The sequence below is a fragment of the Homo sapiens genome, chromosome 17, assembly GCF_000001405.40.
Source record: "Homo sapiens chromosome 17, GRCh38.p14 Primary Assembly".
Classification (NCBI taxonomy): Eukaryota; Metazoa; Chordata; class Mammalia; order Primates; family Hominidae; genus Homo; species Homo sapiens.
In genome coordinates this window covers 82,477,572-82,490,648 of record NC_000017.11, presented here as the reverse complement: position 1 = coordinate 82,490,648, position 13,077 = coordinate 82,477,572, and the positions used below count along the sequence as shown (strand labels likewise).

The 13,077-nt window shown below is 53.9% G+C and overlaps 1 protein-coding gene across 9 annotated transcripts in view; it reads right to left on the bottom strand.

The window, feature by feature from the left end:
* The window catches only part of NARF (nuclear prelamin A recognition factor), a 32,340-nt gene continuing 19,374 nt past the window's right edge, over positions 112–13,077 (bottom strand). For 6 of the 9 annotated variants that reach the window (XM_005256340.5, NM_001038618.3, XM_011523541.3 and 3 more), the window contains 6 exons: positions 11,731–11,849; positions 9,438–9,567; positions 6,870–6,933; positions 5,699–5,836; positions 4,995–5,152; positions 112–2,733 (listed from right to left, as the gene is read on the bottom strand). In XM_005256340.5, the coding sequence (XP_005256397.1) occupies positions 2,492–2,733; positions 4,995–5,152; positions 5,699–5,836; positions 6,870–6,933; positions 9,438–9,567; positions 11,731–11,849 (851 nt within the window). In that variant the 3' untranslated portion in view covers positions 112–2,491. 9 annotated transcript variants of the gene reach the window in all.

Sequence of the window (13,077 nt, the reverse complement as noted above, 5' to 3'; positions counted from 1 at the left end):
AAGCACAGGGCGAGGCCACCTGGCGTGGCCGCAGTGAGGACGGCAACACACCACAAGATGTGGCCCTGCTGGGGCAGCAGGTGGCTCGGCTCACTCAACCATTCACTCAGACACGCTGCAACTGTTTATTCCAGAATCAGAGGTTGGAAACCCAACTGTATATAGACTGAAAGCAAAACAAATACACAACTGAACACAATATATGCAGTTATCCAGCAAGACAGGCAACGCAACACAATATATGCAGTTATTGACAAGACAGGTGCACAGGCACAGCACACAGAGTGAGATGAAGGCAGCCTAGCGAGCAGAGGCTCTGCAGCACGGAGGGCTGGGAAGGCCATCGCTCGAGTTAATCCAATCCCAGTGCTTCAGGACACCTTGGGCCACGTTGACATCTCTCTTTTCCTGGGAGGAGCCCTAGGGTACAGCTGCATGGTTCCATGGAGTTTCAGGCGTCTGCCAGCTCTGTTTCACTGTTTGTGGTTAAACTGCTTTCTCCTTTTTAAAAAAAAATTTTTTGCCAGGTGCAGTGGCTCACGCCTGTAATCCCAGCATTTTGGGAGGCTGAGGTGGTTGGATCACCTGAGGTCAGAAATTCCAGCCTGACCGGCCCGATCAACATGGCGAAACCCGTCTCAACTAAGAATACAATTAGCCAGGCGCGGTGGCGCGCGCCTGTAATCCCAGCTACTCCAGAGGCTGAGGCAGGAGAATCGCTTGAACCCAGGAGGCGGAGGTTGCTGTGAGCCGAGATCACGCCACTGAACTCCAGCCTGGGTGACAAAGTGAGACTCTGTCTCAAAAAAAAAAAAAAAATTTGTAGAGACAGAGTCTCCCATGTAGAAACTCCTGGACTCCAGCAATCCTCCCACCTTGGCCTCCCAGTGTGCTGGGATTATAGGGCACGAGCCACCGTGCCTGGCCTCTCCTTTCTTTTTAAGGCAAGCTCATGCCCACAGTGCAGTGCCAGAATGGAGGGGGCTCCATCACCCTGAGCACAGAGGGCTTCATGGCGAGTGGATGGGCCAGGGCCGTGTGAGAAGAAACCTGTCTGCCAAGGGTGACAGGGAAGTCTTCTGCGGGAGGCTGGACCACCTGAATATCCTCAACCCCTCAGGGTCAGACGGAACCTTTACCCCCGACTCCCACCCCACGACAGTGCTGATGATGAGCTGGGGCCCCCTGCACCCACCCAGCTGGTGCGGGCAGCCTTCTCAATTTTCCATTCTCGTGTCTGTCACCCTTGCCCCAGTGCGAGTCCGACTGAAAGACTGAATGTACAAGTTTGAGTTGGGGCCTGGGTTGCCAGGCCTCCAGGGCCCTGAGTATGGTCCAGGAGGGTGGTGACTGGCTGTGAGGAATGGCCCAGGGCCGAGTGTGGTCCAGGAGGGTGGTGACTGGCTGTGAGGAATGGGAGGAGGGTGGTGACTGGCTGTGAGGAATGGCCCAGGGCCGAGTATGGTCCAGGAGGGTGGTGACTGGCTGTGAGGAATGGGAGGAGGGTGGTGACTGGCTGTGAGGAATGGGGCCTACTGTTGTCAGAAACTACAGTTTTTCTAAGAAAAGCTGAAAATCCAGATTTGTACGTAAGTCTCCTGATTCTAAAAGGCTGACAGTTATTAATGTTCTGGCAAAAACATTTTCAAGGAAAATATGAGTGGGTAAAAGAAAGAGCCAAAATGGGCAGGGATCTGGGACTGTGGACTGCCTGCCCTAACAACCCCAGGGCCACAGGAGTCCACAGGCACAGCCACCCCACCCTCTGCCCTCACTCCCACATCAAATCACCTTCAAGTCATGTGCATTAGAACCTCTGGGGGTCCTAGCTCTTCACAGGACACTTTCTGGATTTTTCTTTTTAAACCTAAAATACAGTAGTCTGTCTCCATTCCCACTCTTTGGGACTTTTTCACAATCTTAGGATGAAGGGATAAATTGGGGAAGTGCTCCTCTCATGTTAAAACGTTCCAATCTGCCAGGCACGGTGGCTCATGCCTGCAGTCCTGGCACTTTGGGAGGCCAAGGCGGGTGGATCAGGAGGTCAGGAATTCAATACCAGCCTGGCCAACATAGTGAAACCCCATCTCTACTAAAAATACAAAAATTAGCTGGGCATGGTGGTGTGCGCGTTAGTCCCAGCTACTCGGGAGGCTGGGGCAAGAGAATCGCTTGAACCCGGGAGGCAGAGGTTGCAGTGAGCTGAGATTGCGCCATTGCACTCCAGCCTGGGTGACAGAGTGAGACTCCGTCTCAAAAAAAAAAAAAGAAAAAAAAAGTTCCAATCCCACACCTATTATGAAGATAGCACCACATGAAACTGCCTGAGGGGCCTCCAATAAACGGGGTAGCAGGGAACTCGGAGAAACCAAAGTAATCCATTGAGCGGTTTTCTTAAGTGTCTTTAATACTCCACTCAGGGCAGCCCCTCCCTCTACTGAGAGGCTCTTGGCTCTGGCCCCAAGAGCAGCTGGAAGGCCCTGGCCTGACTTCACCACTTGATGTCCAGGCTGTGTGTGCCACGCTCCTGGCTCTGGTACGTGGTATGCAGCACCTCTCGGGCCTTGGGGGAGTTGATCCCCTCCAGCCACTCCTGGTACAGCTCCTGCACGTGTGCACTGGACTCCGGACGCCGCACAGGGATGTCAGCGTAAATGCCTTCCATCTGCCGCAGCAGGGCCTTATCCGCATGTCCGTCTGGAGTCTGGGCTTGGCCTCTGCCATTTAAGCATCCTGAAAGATAAACACAGGTAAGTTTATCCTGGGCTCAGGCGATCTTTCTGCCTTAGCTTCCTGAGCAGCTAGAACTACAGACACACACCACCTTGCCCGGCTGATTTTTAAATTTTTTGTAGAGATTGGGCGGGAGGGGCGGGTGTTGCTATGTTGCTCAGGCTGGTCTTGAACTCCTGGCTTCAAGCGGCAATCCTACTTCGAGCTGGGACCACTGGCGTGAGCCACCGCACCCAGCCGGGATAGTCTTAAGGAAGTTTTGCCTCACAGGGAAGAGTTGGAAGCAGGAGAGGAATAAAGGGGACGTGGAATGTTGTGTGGCCTAAGGCTAGGGCTGGCTGAACAGGCCAGGGTCTTCCTCAAGGCTGTCAGGGACACTGATCCCAGACTCACAGCCCCGTGTGCCTCTCATTCTTCTTTTTTTTTTTTTTCGAGACAGAGTCTCTCTCCATTGGTCAGGCTGGAGTGCAGTGGCCTAATCTCGGCTCACTGCAACCTCCATCTCCTGGGCTCAAGCGATTCTCCCACCTCAGTCTCCCAAGTACCTGGGGTTACAGGTGTGTGCCACCACGCCCGGCTAATTTTTGTATTTTTAGTAGAGACAGGGTTTTACCATGTTGGCCAGGCTGGTCTCAAACTCCTGACCTCAGGTAATCCGACCACCTCGGCCTCCCAAAGTGCTGGGATTACAGGCGTGAGCCACCGTGCCTGGACCCGTGTGCCTCTCATTCTTACCCATTTACATCACCCATAAAATGGTTTTACCTAAAACCTAAGTTGCCAACCTTTTAGAACTGGGTGGCTTCATATGCAAATCCCGATTTCCAACTTCTCTTGGAATTTGGCAAAACCAGGATAGCACAGGAATTGTGAACAAGCAGTTAAACCACTCCTGCCTGCACCACACGTGTTAGTGTGCTGGGCCCTGCCTGGAGGCTGCACCAGAGGCAGCTAAGCTGTGAGCCCAGCCATGAGCCCACACACCCAACACTGGCCTGAGTAAAAATGTGTCTCCTATCTATTAATGCTACTTACTCTCCAACGTGTTAGATGATGTCACTCTTAGTAGTGTAAGAGTTCATTTAAAACAATCTGGAGCAAATTTCCCTGGTTAAACCTCACTCCCCATGGGTTCCAGGGTGGCACCCCAGCTGGTCTCCAACCTCCACTTTCCCAGGGGGCTGGGCTTGCACCTTCTCCTTCCTCAGGCCCCAGCTCCACCCGCTTGCACACAGAGGCCCTCCCAGAGGCCCTGCTTCACGGCCCACCTCCCGGCTGCTCCTCAGCCCAGCTGTGGGACTGACCCTTCCGTGCCCCTGGAATGCTCAGTGAGGCCTCCAAGGCCACAGGCTCCCCTCTCTGCCCTCACCCTCCTCTTGTCAGTGCTGGCTGAGGCCTCCCCTCCTCTACGAGATCCTTTGTGTTGAAGGACACACCCTTGTCTGTGCCCTGCCCAAGGGCCCCTCCCATCCTGTGGCTTCACACCTTGTCCCACTTGTCTAACATCAGTGGAGCCGCTCCTCCAACTGACCTGCACCCGGCATTTCCACTCGAGTCCCTCGTGGTGCCCCCCCCGACTCACAATGGCACAAAGGTCCTCAGTTCCCCACCAGGGGCGCAGATGGACCACCATGGGTCAGGGGCAGAGGGTCCCCTTCTTCCCTGACACACCCTCAGCAAGTCCTTCCCGGAGACCCCCACCGTGTCCTGGCCTCCTCTCATCCTCTCACTCCCCCTGCCCCAGGTGGGGATCCTTCCTCACTTGCCTGGATGATCACAGCCCACAGTGGCCCACCCTCCCTCCACGCAACAAGGGAGCCCCTCAGGCCCAGGCTGGGTCACACCCCTTCCCGCTTCCACCTCTCACTGCTCTCTCCCATCACTCAGGACAGAGAAGGCTCATGCTTGGTGCCTGGCACGGGGCAGGGGTGTTTCTCCTAGGCAGGGCAGCCTCAACTCTTGTGATTTGTTCTCTAAGCCAGCCGCCACGGGCTGACTCTCACCTGGTGCCATGTTGGGCCTCCTGAGGGCACGTCCCCAAGAGAATGCCCACATGCTACATGGGGTGAGGAAAAGAGCAAAACCAATGGAGCCTAGAATGTCCCAGCACAAGCCCCACGGGAGCATCCATACCCTACAAAGCTCTCAGGGCTGAGAGAGGCTCTGGGTGGCCAAGAGCACCATCTCTCTGGCAGCTGCAGGACCAGTGTGGCCTGAGCACCCGTGGGAGACAGAGCCAGGTGCTGCTCTTGGCGCCTCACCTCCAGCACAGGCGAGGACCTCCACAAAGTGGAATGGGAACTTGCCCTTCTTAAGCTTCAGGATCATGTTCTGGATGTTTCGAAAGCCATAGGCTGCAGCAAAGCGTAACACCACCTCTCCGTTCTTCTCAAGGGTGACCTCTTGGAAGTCTTTGTTTCTACAAAATGAACACAGAGAATTTTGATCCATCAAGTCCTTTATCTGTGACTTAAGAACACTTCCTTTTTTTTTTTGAGACGGAGTCTTGCTCTGTTGCCCAGGCTGGAGTGCAGTGGCACCATCTTGGCTCACTGCAACCTCTGCCTCCCGGGTTCACGCCATTCTCCTGCCTCAGCTTCCCGAGTAGCTGGGACTATAGGCGCTCACCACCACACTCGGCAAATTTTTTGTATTTTTAGTAGAGATAGGGTTTCACTGTGTTAGCCAGGATGGTCTCGATCTCCTGACCTCATGATCCGCCCGCCTCGGCCTCCCAGAGTGCTGGGATTACAGGCACGAGCCACCGCACCCGGCCAAGAACACTTTCTAATGTAAGTTTGGAATGTCAGCAAAATAAAAGGTCTGAATAAACACAAAAAAGTCCTTTTGATTTTGACTAGTGTAAACTCCATCCATAGAACCGCCACATGCACAGATCCATACAGGCACACCATGCACACGTGCTAACCACAGGCACAGACAGGCTGTGGATACTGCCCCACACCTCAGGGCTCGGTAAGTGACCTCCTCCACATCCTCGTTGAACAGCTCCTTGGCCGCATGTCTGAAGATGTGTGCCAGGTGCCCGTCTGAGCTGGCTCCATCATGACGCGTCACTTTGTCCTCCTTCAAGTCTCCAAACCTCACAAGGCAGAGAAAATACAAGTCCTTCATGAATGCTGACGTACAGTGACAGAAAGAGTGAAACCAGACTTCCTGAGGGCATCACAATCCAAGTTCGCCACCAAAGAAGCTAAATCCTGTACAGATGTTTAAACTTTGCAGAAAGTCCCATTCTAGCATCTTGAGGGGTCTTGGGAGGGCCTGCCTGATGCTCGGGCAAGGCGGAGGACTCTCAGTCACGCCGAGCCCATGCACAGGCTCTTGCAGGTGCTCCAGATGCTTATGGTCTTTTTCTTTTGGAGACAGGGTCTTGTTCTGTCTCTCAGGCTGGAGTGCAGTGGCACAATCATAGCTCACTACAGCCCCAGCCTCCTGGACTCAAGTGATCCTCCTACCTCAGCCTCCCAAAGTACTGTGATTATAGGTGTGAGCCACCACGCCTGGCCCCACAGATGCTTAAATTCTGTAAACTTCTATCTTACCTTCCCCCAAAAGGGCACGAATGCAGCACCTGGGATGCGGACTGTTGGCGAGGACACACGCTGCTGCCTTTGTGGTGCTCTCTGCCCAGTGCCTGGGGTGCAGCAGGAGCCCTGGGCCTTGCTGGGTATCGAGGTCACCGCCCCCAGCAGAACCCAGACTGCCACTCTTGGTGCAAAGGGGCCTGAGGGAGCTGCCCCACTGCCCCATAGACCACACGGAATGTGAGGCACAGACGGCACTCAGGAAGAAGGGGGCTGGTGCACACATGAACAGCCCTGCGCCAGCGAGGACAAAGCTGTTTGTGCATTTTGTCCTTCCTCAAGGGTTTAGGGTGGCAATCACACCATGGAAGCCCGCCAAACCTTCAACTCCCTGGCAGCCCTGGTGAATGGTATCCCATTCAACAGCTATAGGGTGGCTGAGGGTTGTGGCAGGGGCCTGGGGGACTGCATCGCAGTGCTTCACATGGCCTCGTCATAAAGCAGGGCAGCCCTGGGCCTGGCAGGTGGCTGGCAGGGCTGACGAGAGGTCCTGCCCCCCAGAGGACTCTCCCCAGAGAAGCCACTTACAGAGTGTCGACGGCAGCATCTCTCACTGAGAGGTCACCTTGCTCCATTATTTGAGCAATTTCACCTGCAGACAAACGAAGTAAGACACTGAAAAGACACAGGTGGCCACAGGAACTTTTCTTCCCCTGCAGGAGATTTGACATTAGTGACCCTGGGTGACCTCCCTCTTATGAAATCTCCATCACACACAGCAGGAGTCCATCTAAAGGGCAAAGTGAGGCCAATAAAATGAAACACTAATAAAACGTAAGCAGAATTCAATTCTAACTCCTCTTTCCATTCCTCTTTCTGCCCTTGAACTGTGGGATTTATGTAAACAATCTCTCCATGATTTTCCCATGTGGAAAATCTGTAAACTTTTTTGGCCTACTTTGCATGAAACAAACAGAAAACTTTTGTGTATAACAAGCTCACAGAGATAGGATGATGAAATATACACTGGTTGCATTTTTTTTTTTTTGAGATGGAGTCTCACCTCCGCCGCCCAGGCTGGAGTCCAGTGGTGCAATCTTGTCTCGCTGTAACCTCTGCCTCCCGGGTTCAAGTGATTCTCTTGCCGCAGCCTCCTGAGTAGCTGTGATTACAGGTGTGCACTACCACGCCTGGCTAATTTTTGTATTTTTAGTAGAGACGGGGGTTTCACCATGTTGGCCAGACTGGTCTCGAACTCCTGACCTCAGGTGACCAGCCTGCCTCAGCCTCCTGAAGTGCTGGGATTACACGTGTCAGCCACTGCACCCAGCCCTTTTTTTTTTAAGAAACAAGGTCGCCAGTCTAGCCAACATGGCGAAACCCCCTCTCTACTAAAAACACAAAAATTAGCCTGGTGTGGTGGGGCGCACCTGTAATCCCAGCTACTCGGGAGGCTGAGGGAGGAGAATCGCTTGATCCTAGGAGGCGCGGAGGTTGTAGTGAGCCAAGATGGAGCCACTGCAGAGCCTGGGTGACAGAGTGAGACTCCGTCTCAAAAAATAAAAAAAAAGAGACGAGGTCTCACTGTGTTGCCCAGCAAGGTCTCAAACTCCTGGGCTCAAGTGATCCTCCAGCCATAGCCTCCTGAGTGGCTGGAATTAGAGGTCTGAGCCATTGTACCCAGCTACATTTATATGACAATTGTTTATTCTGCAATGAGATCAACTGAAAGTGAGAACCACTTTCTGTATTTCCTTTTACATGAGGATGCCTGAAAAAACCCTTAATAGAAAAACTGAGCCTCTAAAACTATGGCTGTGGCATCACATTAGATGCTGTGAGATGGCTGGAAACACAGGTAAGAAAATAGCGTAATTTCCTATAAATCTGCACTCAGAAAAAAGATGGCTGGACATGGTTCTTCTGACAGCCCACCGCGCATGTTTTATTTTGTCAACGTAAGCAGATGGCCCCTGGGCCCTTCCTCTGAGAGTGAAGGATGGCCGTGCTGAGGACCCTTCTATCCCTCATCCTTCAACACCCCTGCCACATCACCCCACAGGGAGCCTGTGCCTATGGGGTGGGGACCTTTCCAGAGGCGTCTGCGTGCTAGAATTTCAAGTCAGGGGCCTGTGAGGGACATTGGCGCCCTTAAAGATTGTCCCTGAGAGCTGACCTCTCTGCCTCATCTACCACTGATCTAAATACCTGCAGGGACCTGTTTTCAGAGACCAATTAAAACAGTTCCGCCAGAATTTTAACAAAGTCTTAAGCTTCCCCCACCAACTGATGTCAACATTCTTCTGAATGGGTTCTACATAATTCCAGGGAATCACTTCCATCCACAACACACACAGAACTCACTGTAGGCTCTTAACATCTGAAAGGAGTGGCCAATACCGTGGTAAAGGCAATATCACTGGAGCAAACGTGCCTTTTTCATTTTATTCTGAATGAAAAAAACTTCACTTGTGTTTTAAGTGCAGACTTGGTTTGTGATTAGGAGACCCGCTATGGCTATAGACAACTTTCCCACCAAGAGATAAGTACCTTACATGGACTGTAATGTAAAGTTAGGGCCACCACACTGCCCAAGTGGTTCTCCCAGGACCTGATTTATCTTTTTTTTTTTTTTTTGAGACAAAGTTTTACTCTTGTTGCCCAGGCTGGAGGGTAATGGCGCGATCTCGGCTTACTGCAACCTCTGCCTCCCGGGTTCAAGCGATTCTCCTGCCTCAGCCTCCCGAGCAGCTGGGATTACAGGCATGTGCCACCATGCCCGGCTAGTTTTTTGTAGTTTTAGTAGAGACGGGGTTTCTCCATGTTGGTCAGGCTGGTCTCGAACTCCTGACCTCAGGTGATCCACCTGCCTTGGCCTCCCAGTGCTTAGATTACAGGCGTGAGCCACTGTGCCCAGCTGAGACCTGATTTATCTTGAGGAAGATGCACAGAGGAGACAGGAGGCTAGATCGAACATGACCCTTCTCTTCACCTGCAGTTAAGCCCCTAGGACCCTCAGCTGTCAGTAACTTCAGACAAGCGACCACATTGGCAGGCACTGAGATGGCTCTGGGACACAGATCTGCCTGGCTCTGGTGTGTACTGGCCAGTAGGAGATTACCCCAGCGCCCAGGTGCACCCCCGCCCACCTCTCACCTGATGTTAACACGCAGTCAGCGCCCCGGGAGCCATGCAAAGCAGGGGGAAGGCTTTCCTGAAGAGCCTCCAGCTTCTTGTCATAACAAGGGGCCACAATGACGTGGAAAATCTTCTCTGGAGACAGGTTCTGTGGGAGAGGGGCACCCATATTTAGGGCTGGTGAAGAGGTGACGGCAGCTTACGCTTGGTGCCCAGAACAAGAGGGATGGGAGACCGAATGCCCCCTGCTGCTGCCCTCCAGACACTGCATGCTGCACTCTTTTTTTTTTTTTTTTTTTGAAATGGAGTCTTGCTCTGTCACCAGGTTGGAGTGCAGTGGCGTGATCTCAGCTCACTGCAAACTCTGCCTCCCGGGTTCAAGCGATTCTCCTGCCTCAGCCTCCCGAGTAGCTGGGACTACAGGCGCATGCCGCCACGCCTGGCTAATTTTTTGTACTTTAGTAGAGATGGGGTTTCACCGTGTTGCCCAGGCTGGTCTCAAACTCCTGAGCTCAGGCAATCTGCCCGCCTCGGCCTCCAAAGTACTAGAATTACAGGCGTGAGCCATCGAGCCTGGCTGCATGCAGCACTTTCTTGGGGCTGGGACTGTTGTGGGTCTGAGGCCGGGCCCCACAGATGAAAGTGCTGTAGCCACATCTGGCTCCCATCCCCTCTTCAACTCTACCGAGCACCAGCACTCCATCCATGTCTGTCTGCTGCCTCCCTCAGGACTGGGTGTGGTCCTCCCAAACATCTGCAAAGCCCCCCAGCCAGTGGAGCCTCCTGGAAGAACCGGGAAGGCTGAGCCCATTTCCTCCTGAACCTGTGCACATGGGGACAAAACAAGTAAGAGGAAGTCCAGCCGGCGTGGAGCTGTTGCTGGTCCAGCATGGAGCCATTGCAGGAGGCCTGAGTGAGTGTGTGTGTGTGTGTGTGTGTGCGCGCGCTGGCTACTTCACCCACAGACTTTCCTGAATCTTCCCAAGCGATGCCCACCCAAGCTACCCCTCTCCTGGGTCCACACAGAGCAGGTGCCTGTGGCTGGGCCTGAACTGGTGGCAAAGCCAGGAGCCAGCAGTTGCCAAGTGACCCTGTGGTGAGGTCTGGGTGGAAAGGACCCACTCAGGGCAGGGGCGGAGCAAAAGAGGAAACCCGCCCCTGGTTGCAGCTGTGCCAGGTGGTCAGGTGAGAGGCTGCTGGAGGCCGGGTCTCTGCGGCTGCCCCTCATGGCACCTACAGGAGGACACATAGCTCTGGGCTCCATCCAGGGGAGAGGGCAGCACGTGGAAGACCTAGAAACACATGGCTCTCTTCAGGTGGGGGCAGGGCAAGGGACAGAAAGTCCCATAGCTCATTTTTCGGTCCTGCCTAAACTGAACGTGTATACTCTGACATCATGTTTATAATTTGCCAAATTATGACTTTATGGGTAGAAAGAAACTAGATAGAAGGAAAACACTGCCTATTGCTAAAATAACAAGGCTGCCAAATGTGCGTGCCTTTTTAGGCTGACTTCAAATGTCTGAAAGATCCTGATGTTACCCTCTACTCCAGTTACCACAGTGCCTGGACATGGCTGCTTCCCCGGAGGGAGGTGTAAAGTCTGATTGAGAAGAGCAGTGTGGGGCATGCCAGCGGCTGGAGAATAAACCATGGGATTAGGGTCCCTTTGAGGGTGGCCTTGGAGACATCAGGGAGTTCTGGGAGGACCTGGGGGCCGCAGAGGGTTGTGGGAAGGGAGAACACGACGGGCCGAGGCAGGGGGCACGCAGGAGCCTCAGGCCGGGACTCACTCCATCAAGAGGAGGACAGCATCATGGCCACTGTGGAATCTCACAGAAGTGGCTAAGGAAGTCATGTGATGCCCGTGGTCTGAGGGAAAGGCCAGGGCAGAGGCCAGGTTTGGCTCCCTAAATGACAGCTGCCCTCAGCCTCCAGGCACAGGCCACTTTAGGCCTCCTTGGGTGAGGCATCCCAACAGCAGGCAGGCAGCATCTCTGGGCAAGGTCCGGGGCCTCATTCTCAGCAGGGTGGGCAGCATTTCTACTCTACCCCGAATGGGCCCAGGAAAACCACCAGATGCCACAGAAAAGGTTAAGAAGAAAGAAAAAGGTTGTAAGAGGAAGGGAGGAATAGAGACGGGCGTTGGTGAGAAACAGCACTGCTGATGTTTCCTGAAGCCACAGCTTCCTTTTTGCTCACCTGGGGGGCCGTGACCACGCTGGACAGATGGGGAACCTCCCCTTCCTGGGCCCCTGTGCCATGGTCCTCCCTCACCTGCCCTTCCTGCCCTCCAGAGAGGTCAGCTTACCTGCTGTCTGGCGAAATAATCCTTCACCAAAGAGCCCATGACCTGCTGGGGGGACTTGGCGGTGCAGAGGTGGGCAGTGATGGGGCGACCCAGCACCCGCTCGGCGTATCGGACCCAGCCTGGGGAGAGAAGGGATCCACGGTCAGCTCCTTACTGCTTCCTCTGGTCTTCCTGTAACGCACCAGGGAATGCTGAGCTCGAGTCCCTGCCGCCCCAGGGTGAAGCCAGAACACCTTTTCCCCAGGCCTTACCAGGAGCTCGTGCTGGACCCAAAACCCGTCCTCGGTGGCCCGGCTGTGGGTCATGGGAACCTGCAGGCCTGGAGGCTACTGGGAAATGGGAGCATCCCTGCAAGGCCGACAGACAAGTAAGAGTCGGAGTAACAGGTCCCCCAAAAAGGTGAAGGGGAACAAGCACTGAAAGGCAGCAGGAGCAGCGGCCCAGGCTGCACCGTGCAAAATCGCCTGGCCAGCTACAGCGTCCTTACAGCCAGGACACGCAGCTACCGCTCAGGGGAGAGCAGCCACATGCTTGCCCAACTTCTCTCACCGGCGAGAAACTAACAGCCCAACAACTGCACGCTTTTTAAAATATAAGAAATCTATACTCCTCAAGTCGTAATAAATAGCAACATCTGTAGTGTCACTACATGCCCGCACAATCTGAGCACTTTCCTGAGGTTGAGTGCTGCTGTGGTTTCCAGGGTGAACACAAGTCACCACTGCAGCTGACCACACAACAGCAATTCCACCGCAGGAGCCCTGCCTACTCCTTTCCCGCAGGCGTACAGCCCAGTCAGAGTGCATAAGAACATCACAGAACTTGCTGACCTGGCAACTGATTTTAGGACCTGACCCCACAGACACTTGCACACCTGTGTACATGAGAGCCACGCAACCTGCCCTCAAACAGGGGCTGGGTAGATACCTTGGGAGACTCTACTCCTGGCGGGGAAGGTCGCCCAGAGGGTGAGAGGCAGCTCATGTCCCACAGTCAGACATGATAATCCCATTTAACAATCAAAGTTTCACCTATAAAGACGCCCGTGTGTGCTCAGGAAACACCCACAGAGACACAGAAGCAGCCACAGAGAGAAATGCCCCAGGGCCGGGCGCAGTAGCTCACGCCTGTAATCCCAACACTTTGGGACTGTGAGGCAGGCGGATCACTTGAGGGCAGGATTTCAAGACCAGCCTAGGCAACACGGTGAGACTCTGTCTCTAGAAAAATAAAAAAATCATCCAGGCGTGGTGGTGCACACCTGTAGTCCTAGCTACTTGGGAGACTGAGGCAGGAGGATGGCTTTGAGCCCAGGAGTTCGAGGCTGGAGTCAGCTATGATTGCATC